The 25441-nt window shown below is 39.5% G+C and overlaps 2 pseudogenes across 3 annotated transcripts in view; both read right to left on the reverse strand.

Annotated features, from left to right (window-relative positions):
* On the reverse strand, positions 489-1876 carry SNX18P4 (sorting nexin 18 pseudogene 4; annotated as a pseudogene).
* Positions 12050-25441, reverse strand: part of ANKRD20A3P (ankyrin repeat domain 20 family member A3, pseudogene) — a 59242-nt pseudogene continuing 45850 nt past the window's right edge. For 2 of the 3 annotated variants that reach the window (XR_001746296.3, XR_001746295.3), the window contains exons 17-18: positions 20282-20411; positions 12050-12138 (exon numbers count right to left, since the gene is read on the reverse strand). The product of XR_001746296.3 is annotated as an ankyrin repeat domain 20 family member A3, pseudogene, transcript variant X2 (transcript). Of the gene's footprint in view, positions 12139-20281; positions 20412-22411; positions 22529-25441 lie in introns of those variants that run through there. The other variant, XR_007061553.1, reaches the window with a different exon arrangement.

The following is a 25441-nucleotide window of genomic DNA, read 5'->3' on the forward strand; positions in this document are numbered from 1 at the left end:
ATCAATTGCCTTATACCAGGATCCACCTTCCACATTAGGAAATATAATTAAATATGAGATTTGGTGGGGACACATATTCGAATTGCATCATCAGTCTTTGAGTATAAAGACATGCACAGCAGGCTTTATCCAGCCAACTTATTTGGGACTCTTTATAGGGTTTGTGGTCTACAGCATATACACTAAAATATTCATACTTCAAAGAGCAGTAAAGTGGTATTATCATTCTTCCAAAAGTCCCAATGGTAGTTTAGGCATTCATGGCATGATTTAGTTCATGTTTGCTACTGTTTCTATTCTGTCAACATATTAACTGTTTCCTACACAATTCTGTATTCAGCTGGATTTCAGTTGAGCACAAAACCATCCTTGTGCTACCACGGATAGCTGGCACTAGCTCCTTGCTAGTGTTATTATTCTGTGTAGAAAGTATCCTTGAACTGGAAACAGTCCACAATCAAATATCTAGTCATTCAACATTATCAATTCCTGGATGATTTTTGAAAAAATAGTATCTCTTGTTGCAAGAAATGCTGCATCTGTGATTTCATGTCTCTCATTCAAATTGGATGGAAGTGGTGAATTTCCACTGAAGTGGTGAAAGAATTCCTGTTCCTGTGATTCTGGTGTCATCAGCCTCTGCATCTCTATCTTCCCTTCTGCCACATGTTGCCTGTCCTCCGCGACTTTGGTAAGAACTTGCTTGTGTATGTGGATGATGTTCAGGATGTTGGTCTGGTGTCCCTGAGACAGCACTAACAGGTCCATGACTGGGTCCAGGTTCTGCCTGGGATGATTGGCAAAGAGCTCACTGACAGTGTTGAAGGCATCTGTGGTGAAGTGGATGGGCTGGTCCAGCTCCAAGGCCTGGCTGAGGCTGAAGAACTGGCAGCCTTCTGATGCTCCTTCTTAAAGCCTGTCACCATCACCTGCTTGCATGTCAACTCATTGGCTGTGAAGTTGAGCCGAGTGCCCTGTTGTTCATCTTCTTGGTGAAGCATTTGAAGCTGTCAATCTTGCTCTCCCACTCCTAAAGTTTGAGTGTCACCCTGGAGGTGGGCTCAGAGCCAGGGAGAATCTGGCACTCACCATCTCATCCTTCTCAGCATTCCTCTTGCCCTGTCTCCAGGCTGTCTCTTCAGTGCTGGTGTGGCACATCAGGAAGTGATGGAAGATGTGGCACTGTGCCTGCACCCAGAAGCTGGCCATGTGGTTCATCCACCAGATTGGGCCCTTTCTGCACTTGAACATAGAATCCTCCTCAAGAGGGCCTGTGGTCTGCCTCTTGGCACCCAAGAAGCCCACAGTGCTGTAGGAGCCCTGATGCATGGATTGGAGCCCCAAAGGCAGCGCAAACCCTGCTCCTGAGGCTGCTGCTCATTTCCTCTATGTGGCTCCATTTGCAGCACAGTTGTTGAACTGAGGCTTGTGCATGCCAGGCAAGGCCAAGTTGGCTCAAAGAGCAACCAGCCACCTCTGCAAGGGTGTACCAGGAGCAGGTGGACCAGCCACCAACCTCACTTGCTGCCAATCGGGGTAAATCAGTTATTCTGCCCTGGAGGTAGGGCCCCAGTGCCATCTGCTTTTCCTCAGGCCTCCACTTCATCAGCTGTCAGGTGGTGGTCACTCAGGGTGTGGGAACCTGGCCATCCCTGTTTCCTTGAGTGGGTGAGGTTGGTGGCTGGTCCACCTGCTCCTGGCACACCCTTGCAGAGGTGGCTGGTTGCTCTTTGAGCCAGCTTGGACTTACTTGGCATGCACAGGCCCCGGGTACTGACAAGCTGCTCCGAGTGAGCTTGTCTTGTCTTGGGCCAAATTCTAACTCTGGCCAGGGCCACAGAAGGCTGAGTCCCCTGGGTGGTAATCCTGGCTGCTGCAGGGAGGCCCATGGTGCTCCTCCCCTCCCAGGGCTCAGGATGAGGTTCAACTAGGACAGGACCCTTTAGGTATGGGACTTGTGCCCCAGGAGGGGGCCTCTGTCACACAGGTTGGGTAAGATGTATGGCATGCTGCTGGCTTCCAGGGCTGTTGGGATGACACATTCACCCTTCCCTCCAGGGACCTCAAAATGACCAGCTTCCCCTTTGAGAATGACTTCCCAAGGCCTAGGAGCCATCTGGGGCTGCAGGGCAGCTGGCTGCATGCTGCCCTGGCTTCTTCCATGTCGTGCTGGTCACTACCCACCAAGGGGGGTCAGATGCAGGCACCATGCAGGGCAGTTGTCTCTGGACCTGCGTCTTTGTTATCATGGAGCTGGACTGGGCCTGGGTGAGAGGGCCTGATGGGGTTGTCCTGGGTAATCACGGGGGTGATCAGAAAAGATGCAGAATGGAATTGCTGCGAGGATGAACGAGATGACTGTCAGCACAGAATAGGCAGCCGGTGAGTGTTCAGGGATTACCCTCAGTAGCTGCTCAGAGGCCAAAACCACCCAACTGATAGCGACTGTCCCCAAGCTAGGAGCAAGAGAAGAGAGCAGGTCCCACTCACCTGAGTCTGATCAGTCAGCTGTGTTGAGATGTGCCTCTCACCTAGAAAACGGTCCTTCACGCAGAGCCACTCAGACACCACAGTGTGTCTCTAACTGCTCCACAACACAGAGGCGATGGGGGCTCAGCAACAGTGACATTGTGGGGTGACACAACCCACCACAATGGGAGCCTGCATGGGTCAACAGCGCCCAGAGTCAGTGTCCTCTATCCCCTGAACTGACATGTGTGGATGCAGTGTGTTTGTGCATGCGTGTGTGCCTGTGTGTGTGTGTGCACATATGTGTGTGTGTGTTTCTCTTGCTTCTCTGGCCAGGCCTAGCTTCTCCACTCACAGGTGCACCCAGGTCATCACCGAGGGCTCATGGCCAGCATTAGAGCTTCTACAGGTGCTCCCCAATCTCTGCCTTCCCCACCCATGGTGGTCCTGGGGATGCAGAGAGAGGAGGGGCACCAGGCACAGCAGAGAGGGCTGGGACCCCCTCTAGGTGGCACACAGGTCATGTGTAAAGTTGTAGGTCTGCCAAGTGGTGCTGGATTCAACACATCTTCTCACCTTCTCTTTCCAGCCACCCTCCAAGGTGCCCTGACTCACCTTCCCTGCAGATGGAGGCAAGGAGACTCCACAGACAAACCCCCTGCCTGAGGTCACACAGTGGCCAGCTGGCCAGGTTCCTACTGACCAGCCGCCCAGGACCAGTTTCCCACTGATGAGGCCTCTAATGACCACTCCTCCATTTACCAGTTCCCACTGACCAAGTCCCCACTGACCATGTCTTCCTAACCAGGCTCACACTTAATAGGCCTCATAGGCCAGACCTCACTGACCAATTTCCCACTGACCTGGTCCCCACTGACCAGGTTCCCACTGACAAGACCACAGTTGACCAAGTCGCTGCTCACCTGACCCCCACTAAACAATTTTCCATGGATCAGTCCCCAGCTGACCGAGCCCCCTCTGACCAGACCCTCACTGACGAGGCTCCAAGCCACTAAGGCCCCACACTGACCAGGCCCCTAGTATACTGCATAGGCCCCACCAGTTTTTCATTGTTTATGTTCCAGCCCATCAGGCCTCACTAAGAAGACCATCAGTGACCAGGTCCCCATGAACCGGGCTTCCAATGACTAGGTCACCAGGTCCCCACTGAGGAGGCCTTTACTGAGGAGGCCACCACTAACCAGGTCCCAACTGACTAGGTCCTAATGACCAGGTCATCTCTGAGCATGGTCCACTGACCAGGCCCCTGAGCAGCGTGCTCAAAGTCTCATTACAATGCCCCCCTCAGCCCACAGACCCTCCCTCCCTGTATGTGTGTCCAGAGGTCAGGCCCTGGGGTTTTTTTTGGGACATGGCTTTTCCTCCAAGACAGAGGGAGAGACAGCTGGCCTCAGGCTCCAGGTGCCCAGCTCCACACTCACCCCAAAAGCCCTCTGGGCCAATCTCAAAGGAGATAGTGAGGTGGCCTGGCACTGCCTGGACATGCCATGTAGCCTATTCCTGAGTGTCAGAGTGGGAGGAAGGCAGGGACATTTGGCAGATGAGACATCTTGTGCTGTTGGGCATCCCAGGGCCCTTCCCACAGAGTCCCGATCTACAGACACAGCACAGAGGCTACAGGAAGACTAATGCAGGACCCTTGAGGCTGAGCCAGGGACCACATGAGGACTGTGCCCAGACAGCCAGAAGGCCCTTTGCTAGTTTCTTGGTACCTCATGGATGTGGCAGCGGTTGTTCTGTTGGGGACCAGTGAGCACGTGCTGGGGAGGGCTCGCCTGTGCTTCCTCAGTGGCTCCACCTCTGCTTCTAAGAAAAATCACTCATTCCATGGCTGGAGCAGAGAAAATACAACATTAGCTTAGAACATCTTGTTCCTGAAACTAAAAAAGTGCTGACAGAGTAACGAAGACAAATAAAAAAGACAAGAAGTCAGCTTGAAATGTCTACCACTGGCCTAATCTTGGGGAATTGGAGCACCAGAATCATGAGCTTTCCCTTCTCAGTTATTTATTGGTTTTACTTCTCCAGGTACAGCAAAGAAGAGAAGAAAATAATCATCTGGCAACCATCATAGTAATAATTGTTCAAACACAAGTCATCCATGAAATGCTAAATCTAGTGGGTTCTGGGAGTAACTGGATATTTACAGAGCCTCAAAGTATCTCCCCACAAAATACGGTTCAACTACAAAAAGAAAATTGTCACATTAGCATGCACAAGCCTGGCAGGTACTCCTTAACTCCCCTAAGTAGTAAAAGCTGTAAAATGCAAAGAAGCCTTCGATGACCTTTACTAAAGTATCAATGATGACTTCGTTCTTTGGCTGTTTAAACAGCTGGCATTTGGGCAATTTGAGTACGTCAAACTCAATAATACTGGTGTTCATTTGCAAGATCCACTTAAAACTTAAGGAGGCTAAAAAACATCATTTAAATTACCCTATAAATTATCATCACACATGTGATACAAAAACATCCTACTTCAGTAAAGATTGTAATGTTATATATTTTATGAGAAACAATTAAAATGTTGTGTAAACAGCCCAGTAATAAAGTTTTATAATCTTTTAAATAATAAAATTTTTCCTTAAGACTTTATGGTTAAACATTCTCTTCATTAGATGTGGCTTACCAGTGGATTATAGAGAAGTAAGTAGACGGGAGCAAGTGTTCAACACAGCAACAACTGGAAAGAGAAAGAATTATGTTCTTTACCTAAAACACTTCAGTTAACTAAATGTGAGTTTAAATACTAAAGAGTTGAGAACTTTATCAGAGTTAGTAAGAATGAGAAATATCTATGTACATTTACAATACAAAATTACTATTAAATAATTTACACATGGCATTAATTCTATTGTGTTTAAATATTAGAGGTTTTTCATTCTTCATTCATGTAATCAACAGCCACGTGCTAAGGTACTAGAACCAGCACTGGAATTCCAAGATGAAGATGGCATGGTCCACCTCCCAATAGTCATATGCTATAACCTAAAAACACAGACAGGTAGGCAATGTCCACATAGTGTCATAGATACCATGACAGGTATACAGCAGGGCACTACTGGAACACACAAAAGGGACATCTATCCCACTTTTATGTCAATATCATGGGCTTTCTGGTGGAGGAGATAACATAGGTTGATACCTGAAGGACAAGGAAAAGCTTGCCAGATAGAGGGAAGAGGCGAAGGCAAAGAGCCTGAGGTGAGGAAGAGCCCTGCGGAGTTCTACTCTCCTCCACTTTGGTGCTAGAGCAAAGGGTAGAGTGCGGTAAGTGGCAAAAAACAAGGCTGAGTAACTTGACAAGAATCACATTGACGTGGGTGTTTTTATTTCATGGTGAAAAATTTGGAACTTTTCCTGAGAACAGATGTAAGCCAATGACACAGTATATGATAGGAGATTTAAAATGTCACCTGTCAAGTGACTGCTTATGAAGGGTTATTGCCCAGCTAAGAATTTCAAAATGAGTCTGAGGTCTGTTGGCCTTCAATCTGTACCAAAACCCTGAGAACTTGGTGATGCCTTTGTTTTCTGAGAATCGTTTCAGTGTGCTGGCTGACAGTTCCATGATGATGGCAAAACTTAAGAAAGTGTAGAGCCAGTAAAAAACAGATGCACAGACTTCTTGGGAATTTTTTAAGCTATGGAACATGATGAATTTATAGTGCATAAGTACAGTCTTCTCTGTGAAAGTTTTTGTTTTCACATCTTGCATTAGATGTGTGTAAGAAAAAAAATACTTGACATAGTATCTACTAACCAAACAATGAAAAGGAATGCCATTTGTTATTTACACTTAATTTCTAAAATAAACCTAAATGTAATTAATAAATTTTGGCAACATACTTCTCTTTGTTTCTCTAGTTATTTGTTCTACACAGTCCAGCTCCATCTAAAATAAGTAAAAATAATAATAATGTTTAAGTTAAACAAGAAACATTATCATGCAAATAATGTATCACTTACAAAATGTGACCTTTAGTATTTTTAGTGACTAGACATAACTTGAAGTTTGCTTAAATAGAAAAATAATCACATAAATAAAGTAAAATTTCTACTTATTTTAAGTTTAGATAACAGAGGATGCACCTGTGTAATGCTGTTTAGAGTAATCAGACAAAAATACAGTTAATATTGGTCTACTGCATATACATGATTTTAGAAAGGTAGTGTTTTATTAGTACAAAGGTTAAACAATGGCCAGGTGTGGTGACTCATGCCTGTAATCCCAGCACTTGGGGAGGCCAAGGCAGGCAGATCATGAGGTCAGGAGATCGAGACCATCCTGGCCAACATGGGGAAACTCTGTCTCTATTAAAAATACAAAAATTAGCTGGGCATGGTGGTGCACACTTGTAGTCCCAGCTACTCAGGAGGCTAAGGCAGGAGAATTGCTTGAAGCCAGGAGGTGGAGGTTGCAGTGAGCCAAGATTGCACCACTGCACTCCAGCCTGGTGATACAGTGAGACCTTGTCTCAAAAAAAAAAAAAAAATTAAATAATTAAAGTCATCTTTTCAATGAATGCATTGCTTTGAAATTCTTAGCAAAACTCTGCCCTTTATACAAGTTTAATCCAATTTTTTTACATCAATAAATTTTATCTTAAAAAGAAATTTCTATTCTCTACTTATAGTAAACTTTTTTAATAGTAAATTTTTCTTGTTTTTTTTTTGTTTGTTTTTTTCTAGTTTGTATTCTAAATTAAGGTGGTACCTGTGTAGGCTTCTTCCAAGAGAATATTGAGGGATGCCAAGGTTTAGAGTACAGTGGAACCCATCACACAGGTAGTAAGCATAGGACCCAATAAGTAGTTTTCCAACCCTGGCCCACTCTGTCCCTCCCTGTTCTTATTTCCCAGTGTCTATTGTTCCCAGGTTTATGACAATGTGCACCCAATGTGTAGCTCCCACATAAGTGAAAACATGAGATATTTGGTTTCTGTTTCTGTGTTAGTTTGCTTAGGATAGTGGATTCCAGCTGTATCCATGTTGCTGCAAAGGACATGATTTTGTTCTTTTCTTGGCTGCATAGTATTCCATGGTATGTATGGAACATTCCAATCTACCTTGGATTTTCAATCTGCCTTGGATGCACCTGGATTGACTCCATGTCTTTGCTGCTTTGAATAGTGCTGCAATGAACACACATGTGCAAGCATCTTTTTATTACAATGATTTATTGTCCTTTAGGTATACCCCTAGTATAGTAATGGGATTGCTGCATCCAACGGTCATCCTTAGTTCTTAATTTCCAAACTGCTCTCCATAGTAGCTGAATTAATTTACATTGCCACAAACGGTGTGTGTTCCCTTTTCTCCACTGCTTCCCCAACATCTTTTTTTTTTTCTTTTTACTTTTCAACAAAAGTTATTCTGACTGGTGTGAAATAGTATCTCACTGATGTTTTGTTTGGCACTTTTCTGATGATTAACAATGGTAAGCATTTGTTAATATGTTTGTTGGCCACTTACATGTGTTATTTTGAGAAGTGTCTGTTCACGTCCTTTGCCCATTTTTAATGGTGTTATTTATTTTTTGCTTGTTGATTTGTTTAGATCTCTTATGGATTCTGGATAATAGGCGTTTGCTGTATCCATAGTTTGTGAATATTTTCTTCCATTCTCTATGCTGTCTGTTTAATCCCGTGATAGTTTCTCATGCTGTGCAGAAGCTCTTTAGCTTAATTAGATCATACTTGTCAATTTTTGTTATTCTTGCAATTGCTTTTGAGGACTTTGCCATAAATTAATTGAGAAGTATGAAGTCCAGAAGAGTATTTCCTAGGTTTTCTTCCAGGATTTTTATAGTCAGAGGATGTACTCTTATGTAAGAAAAGCACAAACCTTTTTTTTTTTTTTTTGAGACAGAGTCTCCATATAGTGCAGTGGTATGATCTTGGTTCACTGCAACCTCTGTCTCCCGGGTTCAAGTGACTCTCCCGCCTCAGCCTCCCAAGTATCTGAGATTACACATGCCTGCCAACATGCCTTGCTAATTTTTGTATTTTTAGTAGAGTTGGGTTTCATCATGTTGGCCAGGCTGGTCTCAAACTCCTGACCTCAGGTGATCCACCTGCCTCGGCCTCCCAAAATGTTGGGATTGTAAGTGTGAGCCACGGCACCTGGCCAAGCACAAAGCTTTGAACATAAAAATGGAAATGAACATTTTAGTGTTTTGTTTAATTCATAAAATGCAATTATTTTGGATTCTACTAAATAATAAACATCTATATGTGGTAAACTGTTTGGATGCCAATCATTCAGTTGTGATTATGGGTGGGAAGAGTTGAGATGGTGCAAATAAACTTTTTTTTAAATTTTTTATATTCAAGATGAAGTCTCACCCTGTCACTCAGGCTGGAGTTCAGTGGCACGATCTCGGCTCACTGCAACCTCCGCCTCCTGGGTTCAAGCAATTCTCTGCCTCAGCCTCCCTAGTAGCTGGGATTACAGGTGCTCTCCACCACACCTGGCTAATTTTTTTTTTCTACTTTTTGTACTTTCACCATCTTGGCCAGGCTGGTCTTGAACTCCTGACATTGTGACACACCTGCCTCAGCCTCCCGAAGTGCTGGGATTACAGACATGAGCCACCACACCTGGCTGGTGCAAAGAAACTTTAAAAGTGACATGGGCTGGACGTGGTAGCTCATGCCTGTTATCCCAGCACTTTGGGAGGCTGAGGCAGGCAGATCACAAGGTCAGGAGTTTGAGAACAGCCTGGCCAATATGGTGAAACCCTGTCTCTACTAAAAATACAAACATTAGCTGGGTGTAATGGCAGGTGCCTGTAGTCTCAGCTACTTGGGAGGCTGAGGCAGGAAAATCGCTTGAACCTGGGAGGTGGAGGTTGCAGTGAGCCAAGATGGTGCCACAACACTCCAGCCTGGGCAATAGAGTGAAACACTGTCTCAATTTAAAAAAAAGGGGGGGCAGTATGAACCACAGCTAAACTATAATCAATTAGAGAGTAAGCCAAAGCATCTCAAACTATATCATCAGTTATCAGGCAATAATATGCAATTTCTAAAACCTAACTTAAATGCAGCTTTTAAAGACATTTTAAATGTGTCAGTTTAGTCACATTTATGGAATAAAGTTAGTAAACGGGTATCTCTTGAAAATGAGAGCTCCAGGGAATTAAAAAATGTAAAGTTCCCATTTCCTTTCTGTGTTAACACAGCTAATTATGATCTTTACAAAACATGCATAAGTCAACAGAATTCAGTATTTCACCAAATTAAAAACAAGAATTATATTAGAGAAATGAAACCCAAAAGAGAAATGGTCATGTAACTAACCACAGTCTAGGAGTTCTTGCAGTTATTTGAAGTCTGTGGGCTTGAAATAGGAATTCTTATGGGTGTTTGGGGAATATATTTTCTGTTGAGTCCTATACTAGTAAGATTTTCAACACAAGGTGACTCTGGGTCTCGCCTTGTAGGAAGAGCACTGAGAAAATATTTCATCTGCTCTTTCTCCATAAGGAGCTTCATGCTGATCACTGCTATTTTCTTATTTGATCTGTAAAGATAGCAAAGACACACGCTTAGTATTTCATTTTTCCTCTAATGATTCTTAATGACTTGCAGTTTTTAAAAACTTGCCCTGAGAGCAAACCAAATTATCCACTAAACAGTGTTTTCACACTGAAGATGTGTGAGAGCATACCTGTTGTAAGCAAGTATAATTTTAAAATCATTCTAAAGAAGCACCTGTGTTTCTAAGGTGATTTATACTGAACAAGCAGTACAAACAAAGTAGACAGGGAAGAGAAATGGCTATCAGTGATATATGGCTTGACAGGTAACACTTGCTGCCTTCTAAAAGGGCTCTACTTGTGAGATTCTGAAGATTCCATTAGAAATACTCATATTTAAAGGGTAACAATGTGAGAAAAGAATATGTTGATTTGCTTGATTATAAGAACCACTTCACTAGAAATAATTGTATCAAAACATCATGTTGTACTCCTTAATGTAGGTTAAGAAAACTAAAATGAACAACAACAAAAAAATTTAGGAATACTTGTGTTTAGCAAACAAATTTTAGGTTTCACCCTTGTGCATTTCACCCATTATCTAGGAACAATTAAGCATTTGGCACTGAGGAATAATTCAGAACAACAACTCCTGGGGGAGAACTAGATTGGCTGGTTGGTGATCAAAAAGAACTAAAGCATGTCTGAAGGCAATTAGCGCCCAGCACTGTGACCAAGGCACTGGAGGTGGGGCTTTTTCCTTCTGCCTTCCACACACCCCTTCAGGCTGAACAAGTTTTTTTTTTTTTATACTTTAAGTTTTAGGGTACATGTGCACAACGTGCAGGTTAGTTACATATGTATACCTGTGCCATGTTGGTGTGCTGCACCCAGTAACTCATCATTTAACATTAGGTATATCTCCAAATGTTATCCCTCCCCCATCCCCCCACCCCACGACAGGCCCCGGTGTGTGATGTTCCCCCCTTCCTGTGTCCATGTGTTCTCATTGTTCAATTCCCACCTATGAGTGAGAACATACAGTGTTTGGTTTTTTGTCCTTGCGATAGTTTGCTGAGAATGATGGTTTCCAGCTCCATCCATGTCCCTACAAAGGACATGAACTCATTATTTGTTATGGCTGCATAGTATTCCATGGTGTATATGTGCGACATTTCCTTAATCCAGTCTATCATTGTTGGATATTTGTGTTGCTTCCAAGTCTTTGCTATTGTGAATAGTGCTGCAATAAACATACGTGTGCATGTGTCTTTATAGCAGCATGGTTTATAATCCTTTGGGTATACACCCAGTAATGGGATTGCTGGGTCAAATGGTATTTCTAGTTATGTTTTAACCACTTTGTGAATTACACTTCTTTAAATTCCTTGATAATTATTCCCTATTTCACAAGGATGCCTTTCTGTAACATCTTGAAAATGTTACACAAATAGTCTTTCTTGAGGCACGCTCTAGTGATAATACTAAAGATCACAATCAAAAATGATTGTGCCCGGAGTAGCAGTACCACTTGAAACTTTGGGTTTAGGTTGTGATCTACCAAAAAATAAATTAAACTCATTAATATTTCTATTTAGGAAAATTCTGACAAGCAATTTTATAACAAGATCACATTATTAATTATAAAGCTTCGAAAGTACTTAGTGACAAAAACTAACAGATCAGGTTAACTACATGAGACTTTTCAGGGGAAAAAAGCCATACAAAAGCAAAAAAAAAAAGAGAGAGAGAGAGAAAGAAATGGGACAGAAACTATCCTTGACTAACATTTTAAAGGTAAGATTATTTACTAACATTATTTTCTGAAATTACATTATTAGATTAGCATTCACTTCCTACTAATCTCCTGAAGCCATCTCACTAAAAATTATGCTTTCAAAACAAATTAATGAGCTTAATTCATTTTCTATGAGTGTATGTTTTGACTTACTTTGTTAATTTTTTTGACATGGAATTGTTAGCTTTCAATGCTGCTGCAAAGGCTTCCTTATATTCTTCTAATTCGGTTGTAACCTCTTCATAAGCAGTTTTCATTTCTGAGAATTTACATTCCACATCTTTAAGTGTGAGTTCCTTTTTATTTAGTGAAGCCATATTATCCTTGTTTAACTGCTCTAATTGTTTTTCATATTGTGCTTGTTCCTAAAACAAAGGAAAAGAATACACTTTTAAAACAATTATAACCTAATTATTATATGTTTGTTGCCTTTCATTTTGAGTCAGTGATTCAAAGAGCAATTGTGAATATGTTAGTAAAAGAGGCTGAAGCTTAAAATATTTATCAGCAAGTTCAAAACTAATAACTGAATTCAGAATTGTCTGATTTATAAAAATTTGAAATCATAATTATGTTAGTATTAATGTAATCTGGTCATATAAAAAGTAATAGAATCCATTCATAATTTTAAAAAGTGATTAATGAACAATGTAGCTTAAGACCAATTCAAAAGTATCACATAATTTTGAAATCACAATTGTTTCTTATGCCAACTGATCTTAATCATCAAATGACTCCACAGTGAGAATCATTACTCTGAAAGATTGATTTTGTTATAATAATAATGGAAATGTAAATATTTAAAAGAAAAAACAGATGCCATTTTTTTTCTAGAACTCTACAAAGCAAATTGCTACAAGAGAGGCAGAGGAAACATAATATATACATATCCAAAATATAATTTGCGGTGAAATAAATGAAAGCACATTACAGATAAACTTACCTGATTTAAAAAACTAACCTGTAAATGGATTTCTTCTAATTTTTCTACTGCCTGCACTGCCTTTTCATCTAGCTCCAATTTATATTCTTGTAGTTTACTAAGTTCTACCCTATTGTTTTCCATATGTGTCTTAAGATTTAATATTTCTTCTTTCAACATCTTTTTATCCTCCTCAAGTTTCTCACATTGCTGTTGTACTTTTTTCATAGATAAAAACTCCTGTTGAAGAACTTGATTGTCTTTAGCCAAATTGACACATTTTGAAGATAAAGCTTCCTTCTCTGCCGTAAGATCATCAAACTGCATGAATAAAATAATATAGCTTGATAATGAAGTAGGCTGAGAATAATCTAATACAAAACCAATAGCAAATTTTGAAATGCATTTACTTGCAATAAAATGTTATCCGTAATGCAGTGGATTCTTCAAATGTGAACCCTTAAATTACTCAGAATTTTAAGAACAAAGTTAAAGCTACCATGAGTCACAAAAATATATTATTTGCTATCATCATCTTTGCCACAGAATTTTTGCACTTCATCTTACTTTTATTTTTCTGATAATTCATTTTTGTTCCTCCTTAGATGGCACTAAGTTATCTCTTAGTAAAAAGTGTCTAACCACCTTCCCTCATTATCATTCCCCATAATATGTCAAAAAAAAGTTTCAGAGATATCATATTGAGTTATTTAGGCCAAAGTCAATAAATGGCTCTCAGAATAAGACTTTGAAAATAATATAACACTCTATACTAGGCATGGTGGCTCATTCCTGTAATTGTAGCAATTTAAAAGCCTGTGCCAGAATGATCACTTGAGGCCAGAATTTGAGATCAGCCAGAGCAACATAGTGAGACCCCCATGTCTACAAAATTTTTTTTTTAAATTAGCTTGGCATGGTGGCTCATGCCTCTAGACCCAGCTAGTTGGGAGACTGAGGCAAAAGGATGGCTTGTACCCAGAGTTCAGGGCTGCAGTGAATTATGACCACATCACCGCACTTCTGCCTGGATGACAGACAAAGACCATATCTCAAAAAAACACAAAATAATGAATCCTGTAAATAAGGATTCTGATGCCATAAGCCTTTCCTTAAACTGCAAATGTTTCATGCTAATTTGAATTGCATTTTACGAAGTAATGATTCTTGGGGTAAAGGCCATAGAATACACACCCAGAAATAAATCCACATATTTACAGCCAACTGATTTTGGACAAAGGTGCCAAGAACATACACTGGGGGAAGGACAGTCTCTTCAAATGAATGGCACTGGGAAAACTAAATATCCATATGGAGAAGAATGATACTAGCTTCCTATGTAACAGCACATAATGAAATAAACTCAGAATTGATTGAAGACTGACATTTAAGGCCTAAAATTATGAAACCACTCTAAGTAAATGGAGGAAAAATGCTTGAGGACATTAGTCTGCACAAAGATTTTTATGGGTAAGACATCAGAAGCATAGGCAAAAACCAAATGATAGACAAATGGTATTACATTAAGATAAAGAGCTTCTGCCCAGCAAACTGAGTGAAGAGAAAACCAGTGGAATGGGAGAAAATATTGTCAACTATTCATCTAATAAGGGACTAGTATCCAAAATATACAAGAAACTCAAAAAACTTGACAGTAAAAAAAAATCTGGGTTCAAAATTGGGCAAAATATCTAACTATACTTTTCTTTAGAAAAAAGAAATACAAATAGCCAATAAATAAATTTAAAAACGCTCAGTATCACTAATCCTCAGGGAAATAAAAATCAAATCTTCAATGTGATACAATCTTGCTTCAATTTGAATAAATTGCTATCATTGAAAAGACAAAAAAATAACATATGCTGGTGAGGTTCCAGAGAACAGTAAACTCTAACATGCTGTTGGTGGGAAGGTAAATTAGTGCAGCCACTATAGAAAACAACATGAGGTTTTCTCAAAAAGCTAATAATGGGACTGCCAAGGGATCCGGCAAACCCACTATTGGGTATTCAGGCAATAGAAAAGAAAACAATAGATCAAAAAGATACCTGTACTCGTATGTTTATTGTAGCACTATTCACAATAGCTGATGTATGGAATCAACCTGCATGTCCATAACCAAATGAATGGACAAAAAACTGTGGCACACAAACACAGTAGAATACTATTCACCGTATAAAGGAATTCAATCCTGTTATTCGTGGCCATGTGGATCAGTCTGAGGGATGGTATGTTAAGTGCAGACACAGAAAGATAAACACTGCACATTCTCACTCATATGTGGGAGCTAAAGAAAAACTGAGGGCTGGGCAACATGGCTATTGCCTGTAATTTCCTAGCACTTTGAAAGACCAAGGCAGGAGAATCACTTGAGGCCAAAGTTCCAGAGCACCCTGGACAACATAGGTAGATAGCTCTACAAAGTCAAAAATCAGACAGGTGCAATGGTGCATGCCCATAATCCTAGCTGCTCAGGAGGGTGAGGTCAGAGGATCACATGAGCCCAAGAGTTTGAGGCTGCAGTGAGCTATGATCAAGCCACTGTCTCTAGTCTGGGTGACTACAGATGCCCAGAGCCCAGACTGGACTAGCAAGGCCCTGTCTCTTAACAACAACAAAAAAGCTCACAGAGGTAGGGGAGGGGAGGATGGTTAATGGATACCGAATTACAGTTAGATAAGAGGAATGAGTTCTGGTGTTCTGTGGCATTGTAGGGTGAATATGGTTAACTATGATTTATTGTATATTTTTAAAAAGGCAGAAGATTTTGAATGTTCACAATTCAAAAAATGAAAAATGGTTGAAGTAGTAAATGTGCTAGTTAGCTCGATCATTACACACTATATACATGTATCAAAATATCACTCTATTGGCCAAAATTATGTATATACATGTCAATTAAAACAAAAGAGAAGCTATATTTATCCCATTAAAAAAACAGAATATGGGCAATCCTTACTGACTTCCTTCTAATGAATAGAATGCAGTAAAAGGGATATCATGTGGCTTCCCTATCTCAGACTGCTTTCCCTTTGAACTCAGCCCCCAGATTGTGAGTGAGATCAGGCCAGAGAGACAGCCTGGGAGTGTCAGTGTCAATATTCATGCTGCCTGCTCCAACCAAGGTTCCAGCCAATGGCCAGCATCAACCATCAAACACATGGGTGAGCAAAGCTTCAGAGGATTCCATTTCCCCAACTGATCAGCTATTCCTAGGGAAGCTGAGGGGAGCAGAGATGACCTGTCCTGGCTAAGCTTTTTTCAAACCATAGGTTCATGAACAAAATAAATGTTTTTCTTTTAAGCCACAAAAACCTGGATAATTGTTAGAAAAATAAGTTTTAAAAAGAGACAACAGGAAACATAACTTATGCAGAGAAAAGAGTCTCCTTTAAAGTAGGATCTAATAAATGTTGAGATTAATTTATTGATGGCAAACATTATTGAGAAGCAGTAGATAACCAGGAGAGAGACATAAGCTGCTGAGGAGGAACATTTCCTAAAACCCCCTTCAATTATGAACTCTGATAACAAGGCAAGGGTGTCTCCTTACAATTTCCCCTCAAGTTAGGAAATAAGACTGCAAAGAAAGAAGAAGTATGATTTGAAAAACAACTAGAAATACTTGGTTAGATAACCAAAATCAGACATTTGCCTGATTTCAGTTAATGAAAATTCTAAAAGAATAAGCTTTGAGTATTTATTAATCAATCTAGTATTCAATTTTCATTTTCCTTTTCTCAATGAGGAAATAAGGAGAACATTATGGAATGATTTTTAGTCTTCACAGAAGTAAAATAAGCACAATATGCTTTGAGTGTTAAGACATCAAATGCAATTTCTCCTTTATCTTACTTCAAGCTTGTTTGTATGGAGAAGTTAAGACCATCCCATCTCTGTATTATACCACAATGCTTCTCTACAGCACACAACTTGGCTCCGAAATTTCAAAAGTCAAAATACTAATCTACTATTTGTCTCTGATAAATTGCCTGAACATTACCTGATTTTGAAGTGCTGCACTCCTAAGACTTTTTCTTGGAATGAGTTAAACTTTATATCCCAAGAATCCTCTACTGAGCTAGAAAGCAGAGCTGTGCATCTCTGTTTCAGTAAAAGGAGGTCAATACAGGGAACTGTGGTTTCTGAGAATGCAAGATCTGCACCAAGTAAAGGATTAGATGCAGAGCTACCCAAGAGAACCAGCTACCAGGTGGAAAGAGGATCTGCGAACTACAACATGATGACTTCACATGATTTCCACTGAGGAAAGCTGGCAGCTCAGACTTCTCCTTCCTGGATGGTAAACATCTATGGAAGATTCTATGAATTATAATGAGTTAGCAAAACATAATACACTAAATATTAGACTACATCAGCAGATCCTGTGATGAAAACTTACTGAAAATATAACTATAGAGGGAGGCAATGGAAAAGAGACTAAAGGTTTGAATAGAGAAAAAAAGAAAGAGTGTCTTGTAAGCCTGACTTGCCATCATGTCTTAGAGTAAGTAAGGTATAAGCTGGCCAGAGATTCCTTTGAGGCACAAAAGGTGAAGTTAAAGATATTCCACTAAATTTAATTTTTATTATGATATAAGACAACTGGTAATATGCAACATGCTTGAAAAAATCTTCTCATTAAATTCAATTTGGCCTTGGCATAAGAATAGATATAAACAAACTAAGAATTGATAATCTACAAATAAACCTGCACATTTACAGTCAATTGATTTTATACAAGGTTAACAAAAGAACAGAATGGGAAAAGAATAGTCTTTTCAACAAATGGTGCTGCGACAACTGGATATCCACATGCAAAAAATAAATAAAGTACGAAGAAAACCCTGGCATAAATCTTTGTGACTGCATTTGGCAGTGTTTTCTTAGCTATGACTCCAAAGGAAAAATGGATTCAATGAACTTCAAAATTGAAAACTGCTGTGCTTGAGAAGACAGTATCAAGAAGTGAAAAGGTAAGATACTGAGTAGAAGAAAGTATTTGAAAAGCATGTATCTGATAAGGGACTTACATATGTAGGATATATAAAGAACCTTTGCAATTCATAAATAACAAGATAACCCAATTTAAAAAATGGGCAAAGATTTTGAATAGATATATTTGCAAAGAAGATATAAAGATGGATAATAAGCACATTAATAGATGCTTAATGTAATTAGTCATTAGGAAAAAGTAAATCAAAACCACGTGTGGTATCACTTCACACCACAGGATGAAACCTTTATTCAATAAAAAAGAGAAAATAAGTGTTAGGAAAAATGTAAAGAAATTAAAGCCCTTATCCAATGCTGCTGGGGATGTAAAGTGGTGCAGCCACTTTGGAAAACAAACTGGCAGCTCCTCAAAAGGTTAAGCATGAAGTTACCATATGACCCAGAAATTCCAGTCATGAGTATATACTCCAGAAAATCAAAAACATATGCAAGCACAAAAACTCATACGTAAATGTTTACAGCAGCATTATTAATAAGAGTGAAAAGTGGAAAGAACCAAAATGTCCATCACCTTTGGGTGGGAAAGAACCCAAAGGTCCATCACCTGGTGAATGGATAAATAAACTGTTTGATGTATCCATACAATGGAATATCACTCAGCAATAAGAAGAAACTAAGTACTGATACTGTATTAGGAGGAGACAGCAAAATGCCTAGGCAGATAAGGAAGGGTCCCCGGAGAATCCCCAACAAGCCTCACAAGTGTTTACACCAGACGTTATGTGCAGATAAGGGAACCTGGACTTGTCTTGCCTGGACATGCCGGCAGCAGACCCGAGGCCCACAAGCACTGGGGGGATGGGGTGGAGTCACCAGGAATTCACGCCTTATGCAGAGCAGGAGCCTGGCCGCTTCAGCTCCTGTGCTCCTGGTATTCAATTGTGAGGTGGAAACCTGTTTGCAGGACGCCCCTCTTTGCTGAGAGCTTTCCTTTCACTTAATAAATTCTGTCCTCCTCACCCTTCAATGTGTCTGTGTGCTTAATTTTTCCTGGTCATGAGAGAAGAAACCAGATTGAGCTGAACTAAGGAGCAAAAACCCTGCATCAATACCTGCTGCAACACAGATGCAGCATGGAAAATTATGCTAAGTGAAATAAGCCAGTCACAGTAGACCACTTGCTTTTCATTTCAGAGGCTTATAGGCAAATCTATACAAAGAAGGTGGGTGGTTACCTAGGGCTGAGGGAGGAAGGGAAAACTAGTGAAGATAGCTAAATGATGTGGGGTTTGCTTTTAGGGTGATGAAAATGTTCTACAATTGATTGTAATGATGACTGCATAACTCTCTGAAAATACTGAAGTTAATAAATTGTATATTTTAAATGAGTGAATTGCATGGTGTGTTCATTATTTCTCAATAAACCTGTTACCCCCCACCCCAAATTAATTTGGTACTAGTGATTTTGGTAGTAGTGATCTGGAGACAGGTACTGCTTGGTTTCAGATCACTGGCCAGGGTTCAAGGCCTAAGAGAATCAACAGCATGTCCTTTTCATAGAAAAAGAGATTGATATTTTAAAAGCTATCCTTTTCATTAGTTTCAAGTCTGTAAAATTAAATGAAAAATCTTTCACTGCTTAAAGCACTGACAGATTTATATTGAGGAATAAGACCTTGTTTTCCTTGGCCCCAATTTCTATCTAAAGGGTCTGGGAATCACACCCTTCAAACTATCAAATCTCATCAGATGGGTTTTATTAACTCTTATAATGTGGCTTCCTTTCTAACCTGATTCTGGTGCAGCATCACAGAGAGAAGAAGCTGAAGGAAATCAAAATATTTTACCCCAAAATATATTTTTTGTCATATTTTGAAATGGCTGCTGCAGGGCCAAGAGATTGAAATGGTCCTCATTAATGTAGCCCAATCTCTCCCCTTCTAGGTCTTCCCAGATCTGGGGAAGATTAACTAAGAGCCTGAGGCATTCAAAGTCTGAAAAGATATATTTACCCTCTATTTTCTCAACATATTTTGGCAGAATTTGGGTTTTTCCATTATCAATATTTTCCAAAATTACATGATTTTTAATACCAAAACTGATTTAAAATTACCATACGTTGGAATATAAATTATTCTATTATAAAGATACATGCATTTGTATGTTCATTGCAGCACTATTCACAACAGTAAAGCCATGGAATCAACCCAGATGTCCATCAGTGATAGACGGGATAAAGAAAATGTGGTACATATACATCATGGAATACTATGGAGCCATAAAAATGAATGAGATCATGCTTTTTGCAGGGATATGGATGAGCTCAAAGCTGATATCTTCAGCAAACTAATGCAGGAAGAAAAAAACAAACACTGCATCTTCTCACTTAGAAGTGGGAGCTGAATGATGAGAACACATGGACTCGGGGAGGGGAACAACAAACACTGGGGCCTGTTAGGATCAGGAGGGAGAGCATCAAGATCAATAGCTAATGCCTGCAGGGCTTAATATCTAGGTGATGGATTGATAGGTGCAGCAAACCAACATGACACACGTTTACCTATATAACAAACCTGCACGTCTCACACATGTAATCTAGACCTTAAGATAAAATAATTTTTTTAAATTACCTTCTGTTTTAGCTTCTTAATCAGAATATCCATTTTCAGTTGATCTGTTTTTAAGTCTCCATGGCAATCAAAGTCTTCATTTCCAAATACATTTAACATATTTATTGTCATTTCCAGGAGTTTCTTATATCTGCAGAAATGTACAGAATTAGTAAGTCAAGTATTTTTAAGAGTAAATATTTAATAATTGTTTAAACATCTGTTATGGCATATCAAAGAAACAAATCTATAAACTATGTTACTTTCAGTTTCAACTGAACATAGTTTGAAAGCATTCTATATGAAATTATAATCTTAGATAAATAATATGAAGAACAATTTTATGGCATATATGGCAGGTAAAGTGATATTATAGCCATACAGTGTTTTTGTTTTGTTTTTTGTTTTGTTTTGAGATGGAATTTCACTCTTGTTGCCCAGGCCAAAGTGCAGTGGTGTGGTCTCAGCTCACTGCAACCTCTGCCTCCTGGACTCAAGTGATTCACCTGTCTCAGCCTCCCAAGTGGCTGGGATTACAGGTGTGTACCACCACGCCTGGCTCATTTTGTATTTTTAGTAGAGACGGGGTTTCACTGGTCAGACTGGTCTTGAACTCTTGACCTCAAATGATCCACCCACATTGGCCTCCCAAAGTGCTGGGATTACAGGTGTGAGCCACCACACCTGGCCTAACCATACACTTTTTGTAAATAAACTACTGATATCCATGTTGGTATGCTAAGTAAAATAACGTATTACTAAATATAAGCCATAACCCAGAGATGAGTAACCAAGATAAAAAAGTAAAACACATACATTTAAAAAGACACAAAAGTACATTTTGATACCCACTGACCACAGTCTATCAGAAGAAAAAAAAGTACACACAAAAAGCATCAAGGAGATCATTCAATGTAGAAAAAGAGAAGAAAACATCTTTAATATCTGAGTTGAGGAGAAAAAGGATACAGGCAGTTTTAGAAAAAAGGAAAGGGGCAGAGAGATGTGTGACGATTTAAAGACTTTGAAGAAGAGATCTAGACATCTTTGCTGACATAATGTCAACAAAATGAAAGAGATACAAAACCATGTAGAGAAAAGCAATGACAGAAAAATGTTGATTCTAATCAGAAAACCAAATTAAGTGCTCAGTAAATAAATAGAAAAGTAGCTGTGTTCAGGGCTTCAAAGACAGATTCCATTGTTTTAAAAAAAATCTGTGATCAAAACATGAATGTTCATTTTACTTTTTCTTTAAGTTATACGTATATTTTTATATATATGAAATTTATTTATGTAAAACAAGTTTAATAACATGTATACTTCATGTATACAACAGAGGTACTCATGTACAATGAGTAAATTTCCACGTTTTATATCTAAAAGAAAAAGCAGAAACAAAATATAAGCTACATATCAAGATAAATTTGATGTTAAAGAATGACACAAACAGGTCTTCTTTAAACAATTTGAATGCAGCAGAGGATACTACAAAAGGAAGAAAAAATGACCACAGACAGCAAAAAAATATCTTCAGAAATAAAAATTCAAACCAGATAATGAAGAGTGCACTGGACATTAAATGTCCAAGGCGTGGTCATTGTTTTCAAAATCATTAAAGAATAAGTGGCTGGGCATGGTGGCTCATGTCACTTTGGGAGGCCGAGGCGGGCAGATCACGAGGTCAGGAATTCGAGACCAGCCTGACCAACTTGGCAAAACCCCGTCTCTAATAAAAATACAAAAATTAGCCGGGTGTGGTGGCACATGCCTGTAATGCCAGCTACTCAGGAGGCTGAGGCAGGAAAATTGCTTGGAGGCATAGGTTGCAGTGAGCCAAGACCGCGCCATTGTACTCCAGTCTGGGAAACAAAGCCAGACTTTTTCTCAAAAAAAAAAAAAAAAAAAAAAAAAAAGAATATTTTGGCATTCAAAAAAAATTTCACCTTGCCCCAGCAGCTCAGCTGACTCCCACCCCCATGACACACGTCTAAAAAGTTGTGCTGTGAGTTTCTGAAATACATTTTAAAACAGAATTCATTTAATTATGAAAATGCAAACATAAAATGAATTTGTATCTAGGTTTTAGTCAAGTAAAATTAGAGTTAAATCAATTAATAAATGGCTAACATGTTCTACAATATGAAAACCATACCCAGTTGCCTCTTCTTCTAATTCATCATTTTTCTTTCTTATTCGATTCACATTATACTTCAGTGATGATATTAACTCAAAAAGTTTTCTTAATTCTTCATTTTCTTTTTTAGGCTTAAAAAAAGTGTTTAAAATTATTTTTGTAAAATCTGGAGACCCTCTTTTATCTCAAAAATATTATTTCTCATAAGTGGATTAGTAATACGTATTTATGCAGGTGTATAAAGTGCATTTTATAAACCTGATGCCAATAAGGTCAGATTTCAATAATAGTCACTTTTCTTAAAACTGCTAAAAATGATTCAAATTTTCATCATTATCTTTTCTGAAATTTAAACTGCCAACAATGTTTGTTACAAATGAGGGTTTTTACACACAAAATACTAAGGGTTAGTTAAAAAAAAAAAGAGTAGTTATATTTACATTTTAGTTTTTAAAGATGCTCTAGAAATATTGTTTTTAACAGTTTAAGATATTCCAAGTTCTCTTAAATTACATCTTACTAAGACAAATTTTAGAAAACTCTTATCTAGTTCCCATTACATTTTTCATCCTCATCTGTCTTCAGGCTGAGCTAAATACTGTCATTCTAAGTATTCACCCATAGGTTTCAGTTTTTCCCTTTCTCTTAACCATTTCTCTTTAAATAAAGTTTATTTTTTCTACAATAAACAAAAACAACTTTCGTCTACTTTTTGTGGCTTTTCTATTATCCTGTTTCTCCCCTTCCATTGGACTCTATGACACATGGTTTCATTCAGAAATCTTTTTTCATCAATTATTGTGTTTTTTATACTGAAATCTGATTTTTAATAATTCCAATAAAAAAGTCCAACGGTCATGAAGGACTTTATCCTGCTTTACTCAGCAGAGCAGTGACCAAATGCTCCCTCTGCTCCTCTGACCCCACTTCCTTTCTAAATGCAGTGACCTCTGTTCTTCAGCCCTATCCTTTTCTGGTTTTTTGTTTTGTTTTTGTTTTTTGTTTTGAGATGGAGTCTCCCACTGTCACCCAGGTTGGAGTGCAGTGGCATGATCTCGGCTCACCACAACCTCCACCTCCTGGATTCAAGCGATTCTCCTGCCTCAGCCTCCCAAGTAGCTAGGATTACAGGCATGTGCTACCACACCCAGCTAATTTTTTGTATTCTTAGTAGAGACGGGGTTTCACTATGTTGGTCAGACTGGTCTTGAACTCCTGACCTCATGATCTGCCTGCCTTGGCCTCCCAAAGTGCTGGGATTACGGGTGTGGCCACTACGCCCGGTGGCTATTTAGCTTTTTAAATTCTCTCAGGACTCCTAAAATCTCAAAACTTTGACCTAGATTCCCTAATCTACATTTCCAGCTCTGACCTTTTTCTTGAGGTCTCTTCCTTCTAGTACACATATTATAGACAATATTCTCCACCACATGCTCATACATTGCTACTTGGTGCAGATTACTTTTGTAGATAGTGAATCTTGTCTATTTTATGTTGGTTCTTATTGATGTTACTTTGAGTATACTGTTATTTTCTAATCTCAAAGGGGGACTATCTCACTGTTACGATACTAACCAGTATACTTTGTCCTTTTTTTCATTCTTTCTTCTTTTTTGGACCAATATACTTTGTCCTTTTCTTTTTTTGAGATGGAGTCACACTGTGTCATCCAGGCTGGAGTGCAGTGGTGCCATCTCAGCTTACTGCAACTTCTACCTCCTGGGTTCAAGTGATTCTCCTGCCTCTGCCTGGCAAGTAGCTGGGACTACAGGTGCACACCACCACGCCTGGCTAATTTTTGTATTTTCAGTAGAGACAGGGTTTCACCATGTTGGCCAGGCTGTTTTTGAACTCCTGACCTCAGGTAATCCACCCCTCTCAGCCTCCCAAAGTGTTGGGATTACAGATGTGAGCCATGGAACCCAGCCCTCTTTTTCTTTGATAATGAAAACTTTCCCATGAGAATCAGATTATCAATTGTTTGCCTTTGTTTTCTTTTAAATAATTTCCTTTTCCATAGAGATATGGCATGATGAACATCTTGTTCTAAAGTTCCTTTTGGGGGACACTCAACTATGTCATCGGGAAGCTTCAGTAAGTAGAGATCTCCCTTCTTCCCATTCAAGATTCTTCATCTCAAAATGGTGTCTACCAAATGTCTTAATCCAGGTAGTCCCTTGCTTAGAAATTCATGAAATAAGAACCTTCTGGAGAAGTTAGAGGCTATTGATTGAGATGGTTTAAAGCTGCCCCTTATTATGTGTTTTACTCCCAAGGCAGACATCAAAGCGGCTAATAATTCTATGCCTGATGTCTAACTCACTTCTATGGGAATCTATACAACATGATTTATTTATGAGACAGAGTCTCCCTCTGCTACCTAGGCTGGAGTGCAGTGGCTTGATCACTGCTCACTGCAGCCTCAATATTCCAAGCTCAAACAACCCTCCTACCACAGCCTCCCAATGTAGCTGGGACTACAGGCATGCACCACCATGCCTCAGCTAAGTGTTTAAAAAAATTTTTTTTTTTTTTTAGAGACAGAGTCTCACTATATTGCTCTGGCTGGTCTCAAACTCCTGGGCTCAAGCAATCCTCCTGCCTCAGCCTTCCAAAACCAGGTGTTTAAATGGGGACTAACATGAAGCACTTAGAAGACTACATGGAACATAGTGAGCTACATAAAATATTTGCTATTAGCATAATAATTTTATTGTATATCTTAACAAAATTGTGTATTTACGCAGGTGGCATGCCAATGGAAGTAGTCTCCTATAGCTGCACTGAATCATTCTTAACACTGAGAGTTGCAGCAAATGGGGGACATAATTTATAACTTACTTTTCTCTCTGTATGACTCATTAGGCAATGACTGTGTATGTACTACAATGTAAATAGCACCTCCTGGATGGAATAGTACGTAACTGACATGACCAGCAGAGACAGGCTAAAGACACTGAGCTGAAAACCCTGGACTCTATTGCTAAGTCAAGGCTCCTGAATCCGTTCCCTCTGAGCAACTGTTGCTGTGGTGCTGCCTTCAC

The sequence above is a fragment of the Homo sapiens genome, chromosome 9, assembly GCF_000001405.40.
Source record: "Homo sapiens chromosome 9, GRCh38.p14 Primary Assembly".
Classification (NCBI taxonomy): domain Eukaryota; kingdom Metazoa; phylum Chordata; class Mammalia; order Primates; family Hominidae; genus Homo; species Homo sapiens.